This window comes from Homo sapiens, chromosome X (assembly GCF_000001405.40).
Source record: "Homo sapiens chromosome X, GRCh38.p14 Primary Assembly".
Classification (NCBI taxonomy): Eukaryota; Metazoa; Chordata; class Mammalia; order Primates; family Hominidae; genus Homo; species Homo sapiens.
Window position 1 is genome coordinate 15640693 of NC_000023.11, and position 22237 is coordinate 15662929.

The 22237-nt window shown below is 41.8% G+C and overlaps 1 protein-coding gene and 1 pseudogene across 4 annotated transcripts in view; both read right to left on the reverse strand.

Moving 5' to 3' along the window:
* CLTRN (collectrin, amino acid transport regulator) overlaps window positions 1-22237 on the reverse strand; it is a 48327-nt gene that overhangs the window by 13375 nt on the left and 12715 nt on the right. For 3 of the 4 annotated variants that reach the window (XM_017029680.2, XM_024452411.2, NM_020665.6), the window contains exons 3-4: window positions 18324-18409; window positions 4224-4337 (exon numbers count right to left, since the gene is read on the reverse strand). In XM_017029680.2, coding sequence (XP_016885169.1) covers window positions 4224-4337; window positions 18324-18370 — 161 coding nt within the window. In that variant the 5' untranslated portion in view covers window positions 18371-18409. The remainder of the gene's footprint in view (window positions 1-4223; window positions 4338-18323; window positions 18410-22237) is intronic. The other variant, XM_017029681.2, reaches the window with a different exon arrangement.
* On the reverse strand, window positions 12415-13163 carry PTMAP14 (prothymosin alpha pseudogene 14; annotated as a pseudogene).

Sequence of the window (22237 nt, forward strand, 5' to 3'; positions counted from 1 at the left end):
ACCAGGAGTGGCTTCAAATTCACCAACTTGATCTTGATATTTTTTTCATTAATTCAACAAACATTTGCCAAAAACTTATTAAATATCAAATACTGTGCTAGATGCTGGAGATACAACGTGAAATTAAAGTACCAAGGAGCTTACGGTCTAGAAGGGTGACAGATCAGTAGATCCACAACCACAGTGTGGTACAAAATGTTCTGTGAAAGAGGCAAATATGGGCACAGTGTGAGCAGAGGGAAGGGCCAAGTACACCATTGTGAGAAGTCAGAGCTGCTTTGCTGTGGAGGCCATTTTTGAGCTCTGTTTTGAGGGACAAGTAGGAGTTTTTAGACCAAAGTATGTGGTGAGCACAGGAATGGAAACAAGGTAAAGTAAGACTTGTTCAGCAAATTGCAAGTAGTTCCATAGGACTAAAGACATTAATGATTTAGGAGTTCAAAAGCTTAGAAAAATGTTACTTTTCCTAGGAAATATCTGCATTTTTAGTGGTGGTGGCAGTTAAGGAGAGGTTGGTAGCAAAGACTTATTTAATTGAAACCAAATAAGTGAATTTCTAACTGTAAACTGGAGAGTCCTTGGAGATATTTTATGACCTTTACTGAATTCATATTATGCAAGCTGCCTTTGTCTACCTCTAGAGCAGCCCTGGAAAACAGAAATATAATGTGAGCTTCGTGTGACTTAAAATTTTCTAGTAGCTGCACTAAAATAAACAGATGAAACTAATTTTAATAATGTATTTTTTGTCCAATATATCCAAGAAAATGTAATTTCAACATGTAAACAGTATCAAGTTGACTTTGCATGTTTGTTTGTTTGTTTGTTTTTTGAGACAGGAACGATCATGGTTCATTGCAGCCTCAAACTCCTGGGCTCAAGCAATCCTCCTGCATCAACCTCCCAAGTAGCTAGGACCACAGGTGTGTGCCACCACACCTGGCTGTGTGTGTGTGTGTGTGTGTGTGTGTGTGTGTGTGTGTGTAAACAGGGTCTTGCTATATTGCCCAGGCTGGGGCTCCACATTTTATTTTGTACAATGTCTTTGAAATTTGGCTTATGTTTTACACTGTGAGCACACCTGACTTTGAACTAGCCACATTTCAGGTGCTTAATAACCACATTTGGCTGGTGGCTACGGTACCGGACAGTCCAAGTCTACAGCCTGATAGTATGGCTTGAGAATCTCTGCAGGCCAGCACCAGGCTATCAGGAAAGACCCCCTTTAGTAAATAAATAACTATGCTGTGGCATGATTATTCATGGATGTGAAAGTGAACTCTAGCCAGATAATCTACAACAAGGGATTTTTATCCAACAATGGAATATTTTATTTTGTCATAACCTAATATTGAACATCTGAGAGCACAAACTTTTCCACAAAATAATGAAACCCACTGCTAAGATATAACTCAGAGAAAAATGAGAAGTTGCTCTGCATTCTCATTCTATCTTCCTAGTTGGTTAACCCTTTGTTACTTGCTCACTCTAGGCTTGGAATGTATTCTATCATCTCACAGACTGACTGGAAGTTCTAGCTCAGGTACATATTAAATCTGCTCCACCACTGGAATCACCAATTGGCATCAAGCATCATGTATGTCTTTCAGCCAAGAGTGGTATTGAATTAGGCCACGCCCTCACAAAAGAACTAAAACAGACATCTTGGAATTAGTTGGTCACTCCTTTACCTCATACTATGTATACTCTGTATTGGTAAAAAGTCCAGTACTCTTTTTTGCCCATTTCAATTATTTTACTTGAAATGAGAATTTTGTAATTCTCATTCTGTTGGCTATCCCCACTTCCTAAATAGTTTATCCTGCTAGGACCTTTGAAATAGACATTTTGTGAACAAATTCACGTGCTTCCTGGACCTTCACCCTAAGCACTTTGTGTAAAGGAATGACCAACCAATTCTAAGATGTCTGTTTCAGTTCTTTGTGTACTCTGGTAAACAGGAAAAATCACTGGATATGGTGGCAGGATGCCTAGGTTCAAGTCCTCACTTTCTCTTTCTAGCATGGTGGCCTTAACAAATCAATTAATCTCCCTGAGCCTCAGTTTCTTCATTTATAAAGGAGAGATAATAGTAATTACTGAAAAATTATTGGTGTTGGCTGGGTGCAATGGCTCATGCCTGTAATCCCAGCACTTTGGGAGTCTGAGGCAGGAGGATCGCCTGAGGCCAGTTCAAGGGCAGCCTGGGCAACATAGTAAGACCCTGTCTCTACAAAAAAAAAAAAAAATTTAAATTAGCCAGGCATAGTGGCACATCCCTGTAGTCCCAGCTACTCAGGAGGCTGAGACAAGAGGATCACTTGAACCCCAGGAGTTCAAGGCTGCAATGAGCTATTATCATGCTACTGTACTATAGCCTGGGCAACAAAGCCAGACTCTGCCTCTTAAAAAGAAAACAAAAAAAAACTGTTGGTGTCATTATTAAATGCCACAGATGCATAAGAACATTCCTTGTGAACCAAAAAGTGGTATGCAAATATTAGGTGGAACTAGTATTATTTTGCCCAATCACTTAGATTCTTCAGCCTTGAAATTCCTATTATTTGCTCTCTAAACACCATCTCCTTTTTTTCACTCTATCCTTCCTTTGTTGTATAGTTTCCTTTATTTTCATCCAATCCTGATGTGCCCTACTAATTCCCTGACATAAATTCTCATTCTATTGGCTATCCCCACTTCCTAAATAGATTCTCCTGCTAGGACCCTTGAAAAAGACATTTTGTTGTGAACATATTCATGTATTAATACTTCCCAGACCTTCACCCTAAGCACTCACTCTTCCTCCTCCTATCAACTGAAGGACTGGTTTAACCCAGTGCCTTCATTTTCCCTGTAGCCCTCACAGATCACAAGACATGAATAAAATCTTTTTTCACATGAAATATGATATTTATAATTCTTACTCCCTAAGTGGTGAGAGTCTTAACAGTATTCTTAGTGGCCACAGTGAAGAAGCAATTTAGTTCAAACTTTCTTGTTAGGGCAGATTCAACCATTTCCAATCAGTATAAATCCTCAGTGCCTTTGCTTCAGCAAAAGAAATAGATGATGTTCACAAAAACCTTTGACATTTGATTATATACTCATTATCTTAAGTGTTAACATTTTACAGAGAGCTAATGAGTTATTCCAGTAGGTATTTATCCTTGGTAAAAAGAATAATATGTATTTCAGTAACTTGTAAATCTTGTGTGGGGAGAGCTACTTTGCTTTGTTCTAGTTTATTTCCTGAGCTCATTTTTTGAGTATATCTTTGCCCAACATCAATCACATGTGGTATTTGAAGTTTTGACACATACCAAAGGCACAGTAATTGAAAGAAATACAAGTTGCATCCTCCTAATTCTTGAAAGTCTCGAATTCGTTTCACTTTTGAGTTTCTTACGATCATAAGGAGGGGAGGAGTACAACTGTCGGGAAGTCGGGAAAAATTGTAAAATACTTGAAATGGGCAAAACAGAGTACTGGACTTTTTCCTGATTGTCCTGCTGAGAGCACCTTTCTAGGCAATTTCCATCTCTTACGGTCTTTGAGCTACTTTGCAAATCCCTAAGTTCTTGAAAACTAACATAATGTAAATGATTCTTGTCCATAGAAAATCAAATGAACTGTGTCTAGTGGAACATAATTGGTTACTGCCCGAAAAATAGACTGATGCATCCTTCTGTAAATGCATTTTGCCATTCCTCACTTTCTATATATGGGTGGTTCCTTGAAGTCTCCTTGAAAAAGAATTTAACATCTTACTAGTGCCCTCATTAACTAATGAGATAAAATTTTTGATAGTAATAATGATTAGTTTGCATGAGAGTCATGATTTTACCTTTTTTTAAAAAAAATTATCTTTTTAAAGTAAAGACTATATATTGACTGAAAAAGGTAAGCTATTGGGTCCCTAACTTCTGCTTACTCAATGCTGGTGGTACCACCACCCCCTCCAGCTGTGACAATAAAAATGTCTCCAGACATTGCGAAATGTCTCCAGATATTGCCAAATGTCTCCTTGAAGGTAAAATTGCCCCTGGATGAGAACTACTGATCTATACTCATCTCTAACAGAAACTAACAAAATGAAATCTTTGTCATTTTAATAAATAATTCATGTATGAAACAGATAAAACTCTTCAATATCTATTTTTAAAAACAGTTGAATTAATCAGCAAGTTGATTGACTAATAGAAGGCATATTTAAGGGTGATTACCTTATGGCTGATTGCACCTCAACAGCAGGAAGGGTGTGATTTTTTGAAGGGTCTGTAACCACAAACCAGAATGATACCCTCTGGGTTACATTGCAAAGTAGGACATGGGAAATTCTGCAGACAGTGGAAAGAAAAAATACATGAGAAGAATATCATACCAAATGGCATTAAACCGTTCACTCTGATGCTACTACTATCTTAAGAGACATCTTAGCTATGTTTAAAAAGTCATTTCTACCATTATGAAGAATGAGCTCAGTAAGAAGAAAATTATATAGGAAATTCCCATTGTTTCAAAATCATATACTTGGGGATCATTCCTTATAGGGAATAACAGGGAATCTGCCAAAAAATAATAATAGTCAGTGGAGAGCATTAGGGATCTCATTCTCCATCACCGGTTGGTGACAGCCCCCGTTTCCCCAATGCTTGGCCCTCTCTGAACCACAGAAACCTTTGGTATTTTCTCATTCAACTCTTTTTAGTGCCCTGCCCATTCAGTCTTCCACCTCTCAGATCCAGAGAGGATCTGCTGCCCCCTCATGATTCAATACTTGCTCTGTCTGCATCTACTGTCTCTCTTCCACCCCAGCATCAGGGCCAAGACAAAAGGCACCTTCTGTGTGTACTTTTGAAGAAAAAGTTCTCAAAAACAAGTTTCTTTTACATCGCCTTGAACAAACCTCCAACTTAAACACTATAATCAATTCACCAGCAGTCTTTGAACTCTTTGTTTTGCAGTTACAGACTTTTCAACTGCAAATTGGAAATGTGACTCACTCTCCTCTGTATTACAAGTGAAAGGGGAGAAATGAAAATAGTGTTCAGAGAGAGACAATCTATACATGGATGTACTCAGGATGGAAATTATAGGAAAGTCCACATAAAATCAACATTGCCAATGCTAAAACAAAACCTGATGGCTTTCCCAGTTTACTTAAGAGCAAAATTGCAAAAAGCAACATTAACATCCATCCTAGAAGAATCTGATATGAGTAAAGGATTTGTTTAGAGCATCCAAGTGTATTGTGATCATTTTCACACTGATCAAAGAGAGCACCCTTCTGTCAACAGGTATCTGCAGTTTTCAGGACCTGGCAGAAATTCTTCTATGTTCTGTTTTTAAAGGTCAGGTACAAAAGTAGAGGCAGCTGCCAGGCCCCTCTGCCCAGAGCTGAGTGTCTGGGACCATGAGTGGGAAGGACTGAGGCTTGAGCCTCCTTGGTCCGCCAGACAGCATGGGGCGCCACTTGCCCCTTCTGCAGCTGCGCGCCGCAAAGCTCTGGCCTGGCCGTGGCCTCCTGCCCCATGCAACACTTGGTGGCCAGACCGTACCCGGCACATGGCGCCTCGTGCACTTTCTGACATTTTGATACCAAAGGTCGCTGGTCACTGAGCCCGGACACTATCTCTGGCCCTGACCGCAGATTTCGGAAACTTCTGGCAGCCCAGTGTCTACTGGAAGGCCCAACCCACTGCCCTGCTCTCATGGGCAGCTACCTGAGCGGCTTCCTGGGCTGGCTCTGGGCCAGAAAACCGCGCACCCACCCCCCCGCCCGACCCCCGCGCCAGAAGCACTGGGCCCTACTGTCCAGGCCCTTCCTCAGCTCCCAGGTCCAGGAGAACTGCAAGGTCACCTACTTCCACGGGAAGCGCTGGGTCTGCATCCAGCCCCTCCCCACCGCTCCTCCCAGCTGGGACTACGCCCGCATCCGCATCCGGAGAGAGATGGTGCCCGCCCGCATCCGCGTCCTGAGAGAGATGGTTCCCGAGGCCTGGAGGTGCTTTCCCAACAGGCTGCCGCTGCTGAGCAACATCAGGCCTGATTTCTCTGAGGCTCGCCTGGCCTACATGAAGCGGTGGCTTTGGACCGCCGCCACCCCCCCACCAGCCTGTCCGCAGCCTGGTAACCATGAAAATCGCCCCGCCCGAGCGCAGAGGGAGCCCGATGCCCAGGCCATCTGCCTTCGGGTCTGTGATGAGAAACGGAGTGGCCCATTCCTTTCTGCCCGGGTCTAGGCCGCTGAGCAGAGCCCCTACTCCCGGGCAGCGTTGTCTCAATCCTTCCTGGCGGCCGCCTGCCCTGCTGAGGATATGTGGCCGCCAGGCGCCCGGTCGCCGCAGGAGCGCTAGGCCTGCGGGTAGCACTGCCCTGACGCCTCAGGCTTGCCTGCACCTGGAAGGAGCTTCGCCAGGTGGGCCATGAGCCTCTGAGCACACCCAGCCTGCTGCCCGGCTCCAAGAGTCAGGCCCCTGCCACCACCTCCTGAGCCTCCAGCCCTCAGCACCTTCACCCTACTGACCGCGGTTCTACCCCCACACCAGCCACCGGCCCCACCGGGGCACTTCCCACTGCTCCAGCCGACCACTCAGCGAGCCCCAGGCCCACCTCTCCTCTCCCTTAAAGCCCTTCCCTTGCCCTTGCCCATTCGCTCCTGCCTTCTCCCTGGGGACAGGAGGCATGCTTCTCCCCAGTTTCCGCAATAAAATATTTGTTGTTAATAATAATAGGTGTCTTTATTATCATAGAGATTGTCATATTCTTTCTTTCAAAGACGACACCATGGTTTCTCCAGCTTGGCACTACTACTTGGGCCAGATGGTTCTTTCTTGGTGGGGGGGGGAGGGGGGAGGGGAAGGGGGAGGGAGGAGCGGGAAGCTGTCTTGTGCATTGCAGGGCCTTAGCAACATCCCTGGCCTCTCACTTCTAGGTGCCAGCAGCACACTCACAGTCCTATCAAAAATGGCTCCAGGCGTTGCCAAATACTCCCTGGGAGGGTAGAGAGGTCAAAAGTCATACTGGTGGAGAACCACTGAGGAACAGTGACCTCTACTGGCAGAAACAGGCAAGCCTAGTCCCCCAAAATGTGCGGTTTTCTAATACATATCAAAGACGTAGGGACAAACCAAATGAAGTGGCGCATGCTGGACAGAAAACATTTTCACCAGTTTTCTAGAATGCTTGGGGTGTGAATGATTCCTGTGGTCTGGTCTTACTAGCAATCAGGAAATGCAAAATTGTTACAAATGAGCTACTATTTTAAACGTTTCAAATTGGCAACAATTTAAAAGTTAAATAATACCAAGGGCTGGTAAAGACGCATGGAATTGGAATCCCAGGTGACGCTGTGGAAGCAAGGAGTCCAGCCACTCTGGAATGGCATTTGGAAGTGATTCCCAGAACAGAAAACGCAGCTACCAGAAACCCTGTGGCACACATACACAGACACTGGTGAGGATGTTCTTTGCGGCACTCGTCACCATAGCAGAGAATTGGAACAACCCAAATGTCAATCAGTACGGGACTAAAGTAAATATAGTATATGCTGTCGAGGGAATACTGTTCCACAGATTAAAGGAAAGAAATAGCCCAGGGTTTCTCAACATCAGTACGATCAGGCCAGATAATTTTATGTTGTGAGGATACCATGTGCTTTCCAGGTTGTTTAGCAGCAAATCTGAGCTCTATCTACCAGGTATCAGGACTACCTCCAGTTGTGACAATCAAAAATGGCTACAGGTGTTCCCAAATATCCCCTGAAGGACAAAATCACCCCCCTGGTGGCAACCATTGAGCTAGAGCTATATAATTTTTTAAATAAAAGAATAAATCTTGGCCTGGCACGGTAGCTCACGCCTGTAATCCCAGCACTTTGGGAGGCTGAGGGGGGCAGATCACGAGGTCAGGAGTTTGAGACCAGTCTGGCCAGCATGGTGAAACCCCATCTCTACGAAAAATACAAAAATTAGCTAGGCATGGTGACGCACACGTGTAATCCCAGCTACTCAGGAGGCTGAGGCAGGAGAATCGCTTGAACCCGGGAGGTGGAGGTTGCAGTGAGCTGAGATCGCGCCACTGCACTGCAGCCTGGGCAACAAACAAGACTCCGTCTCAAAAAAAAAAAGAATAAATCTCAAAAATACACCATCAAGTGAAAAAGATAAGAGGTAAAATATTATGCGTAGTACATAACATTTATATAAATTAAACAAATACCAAATAGAATTTCAGGCATAAAAGGCCAGAAATCATGTAAAGAGTCATTTAGTTACTTTGCCTGTATTATTTTTTCCATATAAAGCCTCTTTAAATACTGTTCAAACATGAATTTCATGGTATTCCCCATTACAGAGCCATAGAATACAGCTGTAAACAAAGCAAAATCCTTTATCTCATGGAGCTTGCTAAGGAGGTGGAGACAAAAGATAAACAAGTAAATAAATGCATACACTGTGGAGGTGTGAAGTAAGTACTATAAAGAAAAAAAAATAAAAGGAAGGGCATACAACTCCATCAACACAACTATGGCCCCAAATACTTTCCTCTGTCCCCATCACTATGGAACTATACCATGAATTCAAGTTCTTTAAATTTATTCAAGTTTCCAATGGGTGGCAACTCATACTTTAACACATTACCTCAGCAAATAAAATGAAAATATTTTATCTACTTAGAAATAAAGATTTCCAAAAGATTAAAATTTTTGCTGAAAATAGTAAACCTTACATTTTCAATAGAGACAGTTATTGTTAGATAGAAAAAGTTCCTGGACTGAAACTCTAAAAACAAAGTTTTTATTTTGAAATTTACTACCTGCCAAATGGTGGTCTTGAGACAAGTCATTTCGCTGTCTATGAGTTACTAGGAAGGGCTTGAGCTCTTAGTGTGTCAATGGGGGTGTGCTGTTGGCATTTTGGGTGGGAATGTTATGGGTAACTGTCTTGAGCCATTCACCACACTGATTATCTCTCTTCCCCACCCTTTAAATGCCACAGCACTCTACAGTCATAGATATAACCCCCATACAGATCCCATTTCCTTATACTCCATGGGCAGGGGGCGGTCAGTACCAAGTAAGAAACACTTCTAAATCCCTTCAAAAGTTTCAAGGTCATGAAAACAAAGGAAGACAGAGAAAGTGTCATAGAGTGGATCAGACTAAGGAGAAATAGATTCTTAAACAGAAAAAGGACATTAGTAGAAAAAGTGAACCAACGTGAATTTCTTTGTTTGGATAAGTCTACCGTGGTTATTTAACATGATATCATAAGGGAATTGGGGTTAGAGCAGGGTTTCTCAATAGCACCATTAACATTTTAGCCTGGATAATTCTAGGTTGTCGGGGACTGTCTATGTTTTGTATGATATATAGCAGCATCCCTAGCCTCTACATACTAGATGCCAGTAGCACATCCAATTGTGAAAACCAAAATGTCTCCAGAAATTGCCAGATATCCTTGGGAGCAATTGCAGGGAACCCCCCCACCAAGTGTTGAGAACCACTGGTACGTAGGGACTCTCTATATTAACTTTGTAACTCTTTTGTAAATCTTTTTAATTAAATACACAGACATATACATACATATAAGAGCAAAGCAGTTATTTAAAAAGTTGCCTGGGCACAGTAAAAGTATCTACACGAAAAATAAAAACTAGGCAACGTTTTAATGCTTTTGACTAGCTTCATTGATAAGGAGATAACAGATTTAAAAAATTTGTTTGAAATTAAGAAAGCTGTATTCAAATGCAAGATACTGGTACCCACCAGCATAAGGATGGTATTAATAGTTACCTGAATTTTTTAAAAATTCTTTGTTATACATTCAGATGTAAAATTATTTATTATGATGACTTCCATCGTACTAGTTTCTTAAGCATCATTTCTCTAAGATTGATATAAAGAGAAGAGGTAAATAGTTTTGGCTGTTTGTGGTCTTCTTCAACAGGACAATGTTGTGTCCTTCCTACATGATGTTTCTGCCCAAATATGTAACTCGTCTCAAGATTCTAAGCAAACAAAAAGGTAACCTAATGTTCAACAAATGTCACCAACAGATATATAACTCTACAGACGTGTTTATATTTTGTTCACATACAGGCAGTTGAACTAAGAATTAATAAGCCCACTTCCCACAGTAGCAATGTTGTGGGAAGGGGGCCAGGGGAAAGCCTAGCCCTGCTCTGAAGGCAGCAAAGGCTGTATATGAAGATGGAGACACACTCTGGGCTGATACTTCCTACTTGCTTGGATGATGCTTTCAGAAACTAACTGATGTCTTGGCCTCCCCAAGAGTAAGAAACCGAGGTCCAACAAGAGCTAATACCCAGGCAACAGGGAACTGCTTCTACTCTGGCCATTGTGTGCCAAATCCACCATGGGAGCATCCTCCTGTGGGACTGAGGTGAAAAAGAGAAAGAAATTGGGGGGATGGGGGGACATGGTTTTCTTGTGTCCACTGCACCTCAATAGACAGGCCTCTGGTTTAAGAGCCAGGATGTTAAACATGCTTCATTCACTCACAACTATTTACTAAGAGCTAACCTTGATTAGCCAGTATGGTTAGGGATATGGTTAGGAAAAGAGTTCCTACTACAGCGGCCTTCAGATTCCGTGCCCCATCCCATGCAGGAATTTAGTGATGCTAAGACTCTTGAAAACCAAGACCAGAGTCTTGAGTCCACCAGAGCATTAAATACCAAAGTGGAAGCCAGTAACCCCCACGGTGGCAGAATTTGCACATAGTTCCATGCCCTATGTGAGAATAGACCCAGGACATGGGGAGGACAAAGATCTTCTAGATTTCACATGGCTTGTCTGCATTCTTTGTCAGGAGGGTCTCTAATCCCTGCCCTGATTTGAACTTCATGATCTCCAAGCAAAGAGCACCTGTTTTAATTTGATCAGTTGCAGGGTCACTAGGGAGATTATCAAATATTTTGTCCATTTGCAGCAGATTTCTCTTGTGCCCTGGGACATGAGGACATGAGTCCCAAGTCTGTCCTGTGCTGTAAGCCCCCATATTCCTGAAGCTTGGCCCACGTGGATTCAGCAAGTGATTGGGGGGAAAAATGGATGGATGAAAGAAGGTTAACATCTCAGTGCTTCTGACATTATTCCCAGAGAGACAAACTGAGGAAGTAAATTGGTCCAGGGCTGTAATAACAGAAAAGAGAGGCAGGGAGGGAAGGAGATTACTTTCCCGAAACTTTATCTACTCACCTACAAATACTCAGACAACAAAACAAAACACAGAACTCTCTGGCAAAAGAAGAATCCTGAATATACTGTAGATGAAAGTAGCCAAGAAGAACTGTAAATGTGAAGGCAGAAAGTTGGTGCTAAAAAGGAAGTAACATGAAGAATGACTGCACATAGTTCTGTAATTTATGTATTAAGGAACCAAAGGATACAAATTTCTTCCAGTTATAGATTATGTGCAACTAATGTGACTTCTCCATGGCCTTTCTTCCAAATGTGACTACATTGAATGTCCTCCAAGATTTGTACAGAATGAAAAATTGATCAACAAGCATTTCTTGAGCTAAACATGTCTTTTTAAAGCACGTTTTGATGTCATAAAGAAACTGAAATGCCATTAGCACAACTAAATAAAAATCCTACATTTTCAAGATTTTAAATATGAATGAGTCCAATGGAATTATTTTTTGTTGTTGTTAGAGCAACTCAGCGAAACAAAATTCTAATTTATTGTTCATCATATTGTTTCACACATATGTCAAAGAGGCCAAAAAAATAAACAGCAACTTTACAGACAAAAAAAAAAAAAAGGCAGGGAGGGGAGTGAGAAACCTTTTATCTTTGGCCTTTTTAACCATCTCATACAAACTTATAGTACCGCTAAGTTCATATACAAAAAAGACACTGGAACACTCGGAATAAGATTTTGTTGTTGTTGTTGTTGTTTTTGCTTTTCTTCAAGGTTTGTTTTTTCTTTGAACTGTATCATGAACATGGTCACACCACAAGTAAAGTCAGAAGTAAGACAGAGAAAGCTCTGAAGGCTGGTTTGATCATTTGAAATCATTAAAAATGGCTGACCCCTAACAATATGTACAAAAATATACAATGAAAATAAAAAATATTGCCAGGTACAGTGGCTCACGCCTGTAATCCCAGGACTCTCGAGGCTGAGGCGGGCAGATCACCTGAGGTCAGGAGTTCGAGACAGCCTGGCCAACATGGTGAAACCCCGTCTCTACTAAAAATACAAAAATTAGCCAGGCGTTGTGGCAGGCACCTGTAATCCTTGCTACTCGGGAAACTGAGGCAGGAGAATTGCGTTAACCGAGGAGATGGAAGTTGCAGTGAGCCAAGATGGCGCCACTGCACTCCACCCTGGGTGACAGAGCGAGACTCCATCTCAAAAAAAAACAAATAAATAAACAATGTAAATAAAAAATATGAACAAATTTTTTTCTTGAAGTACTTTTAAGGAAAAAAGCTGAGCTTTGGAAGTTTGGGGTTTTTTTTCCTCCCCTGTTGCAAATTCTTGTGGTTTGGGTTGGGTGTTGAAGAGTGCTTGCCCGGCAGGCCTCTCTACTTCAAGATGACTACACTTAGATTCTGAAACAGGGTGAAGAGTGAATGGATCACGGTGGCCTTTTCTCTTTTTTTCTTTTTTTTAATTTAACTTTTCCTTTTTTGCTGTCTAGTCAACCTCATCAGTCTTCTGCTTCTTGGTATCAACGTTGTCATCCTCAGCATCTTCAACTGCCCATTTGCCCATAGCATCCTCAGCTGCCACATCTTCATCTTCATCCTCTTCCTCACCATCACCTTCTTCCTCCTCTTTTTCCTCCCCATATTCTTCCTATTCTTCTTCTACCTCATTGTCAGCCTCCTGTTTCCCATTTTCCTCATTAGCGTTCCCATTACCAGGACCATCTCTTCCCTTCTCTGCCTCCTCCACAACTTCTTTCTTCTCCTTTAAGACTTTGGTGATGATCTTGGAGCTGGTGTCCACAGTTGCATCTGACATGGTGGGGCACACCAGTGACCAATGCAGTGGACTAAAAAGAAACCGAGAGTTTGGGGACTGGCAATAATGCAGAGTCCGAGAAGGGCAGGTGTAGCTGCAGCAAGCTGGAAGCCAAACCCAAAAACAATGCAAATATGGCTTTTCAGAGCAGCCAGTGGGCTGGTGGAATTATTTGAATTCACTTTAATAATCATTTTGACCAATTGTTTTTACCAAGAAATTATATTAATTCATACATAAGTAACTTCTTTCAGCAAATCATGAAAGAGAGGTAAAAATGTTTACTCCTTTTCCTCAAGTGTGGAAAGCCCTGGTCTGAAGGTTTCTCTAAGAATTGGATCCACTGCCATTTTTCATCAATGGCGCCAGACAGGGCCAACTGCCTCCAAAGAGTGGTAAGAATCTGGCTCTTGTTTCTGGAAATCAAAAGGACTAAATAGGCGCTGGGCTGCTGTTTTACAAGCACAAGACCGTTAATCCCCTTACCGTGGATACAACAGCACGTTGTTCCTTTTTAGATCACAAGACTTATCCTTGAATAATTAGGCAGAGGCAGAAATCCATTATATATTCTACACCATTTAACTCAGAAAGAGAAAGCCTTGCCTGAGTTAGACTTTATCTTTCTTGCTAAAAATGATAAATTATCTAAAAGTTGATGTTTGAGTAAACTAGGCATATTAAGTTTCCAGTTGACCTGGGAATTAGACTAAACTTTGGATTAGATTATAGCTTCCTTAGAAATTCCTTTCAACATTTTAAAATTCCTGTGAAACTGTTTTAGTAAATCTGGCCTAAATCATATTTTAAACAGTTGAAAACACTTGGTTGCCATCTTCAATCCAAGTTCCAGGAAAACCTCAAGTAACCTCAACTAATGAAACCAGAGCTTTCCCTTAACTTCATTTTTCCATCTATCTCCCATTCTGCTCCTAAAAAAATACAGCAATAGCAAAAAAAGCATTTAATATCAGAAATTGTGAATGATGATTTTGAAAGAGTTGTCTTGTTGCTGTCACATTTGATCTATCTTTCTACAATGTCTACCAGGGCTAGGTTCCTGGGTGTGGACCTGGTGCAGTGTGGGACCTGGTCTTAGTCCTCATTCGAATCTCAGTGCTCAGCACGTAGCAGGCTTTCAGTAGAGGTCACTTAATCCTGTGGCTCCAGCCACAGCAGTGTAGTTCCACGGGCTGGCCTCATGGACAGCAGTGAAGGAAGAGGTTGATGTTGCTCACACTGTTCCCTTTGGGCACTCTGTCAGCTCCTTCTTCCTCGCCTCTTGACAGCATCTGGGGCAGATGGTGTGGCTTTCCTGTCACTTCCGGCTGCTAAGGCATCCAGGCCAGTCTAACCAAAACTGCCTTCCTGCCTCTCACCTACAGCTGCTCTCCTTCCAGCAGTTCTGGCCAGAGCAGGGACCTGAGTGGTGGGCTCCAGCCATTTCCTCCGGGCTCCACTCCCTACTCCCTCCCTGCCTGTGCTCCCCTCCACCATGCTTCATTCTCCTCGCTTAGGGACAGGAAAGCAAGATGATGGGGGCGTGAGATAGATAAGGAAAGGCCAAATTATTCTTCCTGGACCTGGGTCCTTGTGGTTCCCCCGCTTTGAGAGGTCTTCTGTGGTAGTGGACGTCCAGATGCTCTCCACTCAGAATGCTCCTGTGGGGCCTTCAAGGGCCCCTCCAGGGACCTCTGCACTGCATCTTCCCCTGACATGGGTGACACGCTGACTGATTTCCTCCACCTCGCCTCGGCTCTGCCTCCGGGGTGTACACCTCCAGCCTCACTCTGCTGCCTTGCCTTGCTCTGTCTCACTTAGGGACATGGGCCCAATAGGCAGTAACTCTATCCTGTTCCCTTCCAAAGCCTCTGCTTGGCCCCAGGAATATATTCAAGTGCAGACTGCTCAAAAAACTGCTCTCTCTCTCCCCAGTCACAGGTACTCAAGCCAGCCTTCCACCATGAGACTTCTCTGGCTAAGAAGTAGCCACCAGTTTCTGTTCCAGATACACTCTCAGTGGCTAGGGACACCATCATATTCTCTAGAGCTCCAGCTACTGTTACTCTAGTGGCAACTTGACGGAGTCCTGAGAATGTCTGCAAGTTGGGGAGCATCCCTCCAGAAAATATTATGCCAGTCTCCTTTCTTAAAGACAACTGTATCCTCTATGAGCACTTCTCTACCTGACTTCAGGTAGGTAGGGATGCAAACAAGAATATCACTCCAACACATCATCACTCGTAAGGAATGGGGACCAACTCATCAGCATGAACTCAGTTGTCAACACCCTAGCTGGCCGCACTGGGGAATCTGCACAGGAACCCATTCCCAGCCCTGTTCAAGTCCTAGGGGAGTGGAAATGCCACAGCCCTCTCTGCAAGCCCACACCCTCAGCCTCTCTGATCCCCTTAGGGAATCCCTGGTTTCTCTTCCACTGCCTGCCTGCGGTGATGGTAACTGGACTAGATCAGCTCTCCAACAAGACATCACTTCCTTTTTCATAGCCATGCAAGCTTCTACTGTAAGTATATGCCAATTGTACGTTTCCAAATAGGAAGAGGCATGCTCAGGAGACAATGAGCTCTGTATCATTGGTGGTGACCAAACTTGATATAAGAGATGTTGTAGATATCACCCTGGGTAAAAGGTGGGATGAAAGTGAGACTATTCATTATTCTGTTAATTACTTGAATATCTTTATTTTTAATTCACGTGATTTGGTTTATTTTTGTGCTTTACAGTTTTCTGCAATATTAGTAGATAAACAATGGTGGGCGGGGGGGAGACAATAAACAGCCAGTCCCAAAACTTGGATCCTGAAGCTATCCTGGAAAGGAATATTTGCCACACTCCTTCAGTCTGCCCACATTGGCACCAAAAGATTTCTGGAAGGCGGCTACTGGTATCTTCCATCCACCTGCCACACTGGAGAGAAGCAGCCTCTCCGCAAAGCTATTTTCAATCCAATCTTGCATTATGTGGTGCCCTTTCCCATAGCTCTTCATGTAGGGGTGCAGCTTCCAATATGGCAGTGCATGTGGAATCCAGGCCAGCAGCTGAATTGCATCTTAAACACATCTCGCTCGCCAATTCATCCCCTTGATAGCAGTATTACCAGGACTCATACTGCCTGACTCTTTACAGAAAAATGTGTACTGACCCTCAGTCCAGTTTTGCAGTTTTGATTTTTACAACTGACACTGGCAACAAAAGCTTCTACTTTTCTTGAAGGTGCCATTACTTGCAATGGCAAAAACCACAATTACTATTTCACCAACCCGACATATATCCTGTGTACCCAATTTTTTTTTTTTTTTGAGACAGAGTCTCACTCTGTCACCCAGGCTGGAGTGCAGTGGCACCATCATAGTTCACTACAGCCTCAAACTCCCAGGCTCAAGTGATCTCAGCCTCCTGAGTAGCTGGGACTATTGGTGTGTGCCACCATGCCCAGCTAATTTTTGCATTTTTTGTAGAAACGAGGTTTTGCCATGTTGTCCATGTTGCCCAGGCTGGTCTCGAACTCCTGGGCTCAAGTGATCTGCCTGCCTCGGCCTCCCAAAGTTTTGGGATTGGAGGCGTGAGCCACTGCACCCAGCCCCAGTGCCCAACTGTAAGTCAAACAACCTTTCAAATAAACCGGATCAGATATTCATAGACTCCTACAATGCTCCAGATTCTGAAGGAAGATATTTTAAAGGTAAACTCCCAAAAATCAATCTGAAATGTTATATACTTAAATTAAAATTTCCTAAGAATGGAAACACTTAATTTAACTTAGTCATGTACTAGGTGAAATGTGATCATTTAAAGGAACTAATAGTGCCATGAACACAGCAATGTATAAAACTTGCTTACAAGAAGGGCTAGAAGAAAATACAAAGAGAATATTTAAGAGGTTACCATTGTGAGATAACCAGTGGCTTTTCTTCTTATTTTTTTTTTCCTGTTCAACTTTTTGTAATGTAATCACCTTATTTTTATTGAAAAAAGTTATTATAAATAGTTGTGAAAGAATGCTGCAGTTTAATGGCATGAAATACAATATATATAATTTTAAGATCTATAAAACAGGAGTAGAACTTAGGGCAAAGTTTTGTTTTATTATATACCTTCTTTTCATTTTTTGAATCACGTTAATATATTATTTTAAAACATATATTTAAAATATACATGTGTGTATACACAAATGTATATGTGTTCATTTTGCTCCCTCAAATTCCACTCTTCTGTTTCATTCTTTATATTCATATCCCATGCATCAGATATTGTGGATGTGAGGGAGACCAATTAATAGTAATCATCTATACTGGGCCTTGAATTATTATAGAATTAAGACAAAAAGATTGTACAGATGGGAGACCAAAATAAAAGGTTAGGTTGGAGGATATGACTTTAATCAGCAGGCAGAATTTCTCCCTAATTTAAAAAAAATCCTGAAATGAAATATATTCACCTCCATTGTCTCAAGTAGAGCATAAGTGAGGCAGGTATTGTCCTGTACTGGAGTAATACACAAGATATTTAACCCTTCATATAAAATGGCACCTACTAAATGCTCCTCAGCTGCAAACAGCAAGTACAACCTTAGGGTGTATGCACCTGTGCATGCAGGGCCTGGTTCTGTACTTAGCTAGAGAGTTGCATGAGAGACGTCTGCTATCATTTGGGGATGGCTACCTCACAAGGAGAAAGGAACCCATGCCCAGGTTCTCCTTCCAGCTCACCAATCACATAAGTCATTTTACCTCTCAAGGGAGGAGTGAAGAAGGGAATAGAGAAAGACCAGGAATGTTACCCTCATCACAAATAGAGAAAGAAAGAAACATCATAGAGAAGATTCCTCCAGAAGAACAGACAAAAAATATAAAACTATTAAAAGTCATATTAAGTGCTTTTAAGAAAATAAACAAGGTACTATGATAAATACCAAGAGTGGAAAGAACTTATACACACTTAGGTTATTTTCAAAATAAGAGTAAAATTCTTTGGTATCTATCTGCAAGAAAATTATATATATATATATATATATATACACACACACACACAATAGAAATGTAGAAAGCTTAGGATATATAGCTGCAATTTTGAGGGATATTTATCTTCATATTATCTATTAAACAAAGAGCATTGTTGGAACATGATATAAACTGTAAGATGAGTTAGATTATAAAAGTTATTTTTAAGTTTAATAAAAGTGTGAATCCCTTTGAAAAATTAGCTTAATAAATTATTTTCAAAATCAAGGTTTGAAATAATGCACTATCTCAAATAATACTGTAAATAATCAGTTAAGATTTCTCATTATTTGCTTACTCTGTTGCTTCTCTGTTGGGAACTTTTCTCATGGAGAAAGCTACCATCGCTTTGAAGAGGTATTCTTCATTGGTATCCCAGGCATACTGAAAAAGAAGGAAAACAAAGTGTATGGGGGAAAATATGGTCCATTGGTTCTACTTGTACCCACAGTGGCTCTCCCTCTCTCTCTCTCTCCACACACACACACACACACACGCACACACACACACGTTTCTCATATATTAGATACTGGAGACCACGATAAATTATATCCCCATGTTTGGGGTAGGGTTTCTTGGACATTCTAAGTTTGGTGTGTCTCCTGTTGCACTATCTTCCTAAGAACCTGCAGCATCAGTACCCAGCCAACAAATAGGGCATTTGGACATTTCATCCTGGCCATATATAGTCCATTTTCATTTCCTTCCTCCCTTTCTCTTTTCCCTCATAAACTCCCTCCCAGTTGCCTTTATTAACATCAGTACAATTTTTAAAAAATTTTCTTAGCCAGAAACTTTAGTGTGTGTGCGTGCATATTATGGGCTGAATTTTTGTCCTCACCAGAAAAATTTCATGTTGAAGTCCTAACTTGCAATACCTCAGAATTTAACTCTATTTGGAGACAGGGTCTTTGCAGTGATGATTAAGTCAAAATGAAGTTGTTGGAGTGGGCCCTAATCCACTATGATTGGTGTCCTTAGAAGAGGAAATCTGGACACAGAGGGAAGATGATATGAAGACACAGGGAGAAGACAGCCATCTACATACAGGCCAAAGAGAGAGGCCTGGAACAGATCCTTCCTTCACAGCCCTCAGAAGGAACCAACCCTATGACATCTTGACTTCCAGAACTGAGAGAAAATAAATTTCCGTTGTGTAAGGCACCCAGTCTGTGTTACTCTGTTATGGCAACCCTAGCAAATTAATATAGTATATTTGACTCACTCTGCTCCTTAATGCAGTAAATGCAAAAAGCCTGAGGCAAAAAGAAACTGAGCTGTTTAAGGACCACCAAGGAGGGTAGCAACTAAAGAGAAGCAGGAAGGGAGAAAGTAGCAAAAGCTGAGCGGAAGAAGTTGGTGAGGGTGGGGGGTTGGTATATCACAAGGACATTGTCAGGATTGGGGTTTCACTCTGGGATGGGGAAACATATTTTACCGTTACTGCCTTTCTCCTCTTTGGTGGCAGGGAGGATAGTAAGTAAAAATAAATGACTCCTAAATAACAACAACAAAAAATGTATTACTCAGTTACCTTCTCTGGGTAAGGTTTATGACTGTGCTGTACTTTTTCCTTTCTCCTAAATATTTTCATAGCATATTCTTTTTTTGGAAGGGAGGAGGGATGGGGTCTTGCTGTGCTGTCCAGGCTGGTCTCAAATGTGTGGCCTTAAGTGATCCTCCTGCCTTGGCCTCTGTAACATAGAACCTTAAACTTTCTTCAGTTGCTTCTTCCACTTCACCATTTTCTCCTTCAGTCCTACCTTATGTAACTCTGCTGTAAGATGTTACCATAAAGAACAGAAAAGGGGGACAGGAGTGGTGGCTCAAGCCTGTAACACTTTGGGAGGCCAAGATGGGTGGATCACTTGAGCCCAGGAGCTCAAGACTAGCCTGGGCAACATAGTGAAACCCCATCTCTACCAAAAAAAAAAAAAAAATCAGCCAGGCGTGGTGGCATGCACCTGTAGTCCCAGCTACCCAGGAGGCTAAGGCAGGAAGATTGCTTGAACCTGGGAAGTGGAGGTTGCCGTGAGCCAAGATCATGCCACTGCACTCCAGCCTGGATGACAGAGTGAGACCCTGTCTCCAACAACAACAACAACAACAACAACAACAACAACAACAAAAGAATGGAAATGGAAAAATCACTTTTCTCATATGCAAATGTTAAATACTGCATTTTAATGTCAACTTTAGATCTTATTTGAAGTGCTCCTTCAATGTTTTGATGTGAACTTTTCATTTGATATTATACTATGAAAGTTTAAAAGTAACTGATTGGTGGCATAGCTCTTTGTTTTTGATAATGCATTTTTTTCCAAAATTAATTTTATTCAGAATAAGAGTAGCTATGATCTAACCTAATAATAAATGAATAAAACATGAAGAAGAAATGGGTCTGATTAAAAATGGTGCAGAAACACTATTAAGACAGGGAAGGCTTATTAACAGAATGCAGACACAAGGAATAAGCCTGCTCAAGAACAAATGAGAATAATAAGCTCAGTGCAGAAAATGAAAATAAAGATGTTAGCCAGCTCTCCCTGGGACATGAATTTCAGTTGCTTTTCAGATCTTGGGGACAACTTGACCTGATCTCCTGTCCTTCCATTTGTTCATCTCAAAAACAAGAGCATAAGCTGGCTGGGTAGGAGTCCAATTTTGGTCACAGAACAAAGGTCCAAGCTACTTAGATCAGAACAGAACTGATGCAGTTCTAGATTGGGTTGGGTATCCTGCCAGTGGAACCAACTTATCTTGGGCAAGTGTGAAAAGGATTGAAAGCTTGTGCATTGGACGTAGTGTATTTCTCCCAGGGCATTCAAACACTTCAAAGAGAGAGCCTCCGCTTATAAAAGGAATTGAGCACATATATTAATGAGAAAATGTACAACTTAAGAGAGGATAAGGTAAGAGTTACTAAAGCTAAACATTTGTATACTTTATGATCCATTAATCTACTCCAGGGTAAATACCCCCAAAAAAGAAGGCATATGAAAAATACACATATAAGAATGTCCATAGCAGCTTAACTACCTGTTGTGCGTATACTTGACACATAATAGGTGCTCAATGTGAAATTGAACACATCTTTATATGCCACGTGTGGCTTCACAGACCAAATGGTACAAATTAATTGCATATATTTATCTATCAGTTTAGATTCCTTGGTTCCTCATTTCAATAACATGTGCCAGGACCTTAAATGCCCCAGCTCACCTTGCTTTTTGCACACATCTAAGAACACTCAAACCATGGCTAACCCCACATTTTAGGTAAGTAACTGGTATAACTAGAGACAATTACAGAACAGGGTTAGTTGGTTTAACTCTAAATTCATGATGACCTACCCCCAAATTGCCTGGGAATCCCTAAGGTTTCACCATCAGTTCTCTTTCTCATGGGTCACATAACTATTTCAAACCTCTCTCTAGAGAGAGAACTGATGGTCAATGCTTTTTTTTTTTAACCATTTTTCCCAATGGTTTCCCTCAAACCTCACTCTCACTAAATGGTTTTGCTTCATAATTTATAGATACATCTCATCAATTTCAACTCTCCCAACCTCCTGACATCAAGATACAACACTTCCTCCATAGACACGTCTTAGCCGCCTCCTCTCCTGAAGTGCCAGACAGAACTATGCCTATCAGAGGCCATTTCCGTCACTTATATTAGGAATGCTTCTCCTCTGCCCTTCTCAGATCTAAACAATATCAGTTCCCCTCCATTCTGTGTATTTAGCTCTGACCGGAGTCTGTTCATTGTCTTTTAACCAAGCTCAAGACTTTCTCATTAAAGCCATAGCAAAGAGCTGTTGTTTTGCAACAGCAAAAACAAATCATTTTACTCAGTCTTCCTTTCTTCTACCTACTGCTATCTCTTTCCTGCCCTTCACAGCCAAAATTCTCCCAGGAGTTGTCCACACATCTGTTTCAACATGTTCACCACTCATTTATTTTTTAACTCCCCACTATCTGTCTTCCAGCTCCTCCACCCCACGAAAAGAGCTCTTTCTAAAATCACCATTGACCTCCATATTGTCCAACACAATGAACATTTTTCAGTCGCCTTCTGGCTTGGCCTCTCAACGGCATTTGATGCTCTTGAACCCTCCCTACATCTCAAAATGAAACTCCCTAACACAGCCCACATATTCCTTGGCCTGCCTGCTCCTCTCTCTTTAAGCTCATCACCTGCCATGTTCCT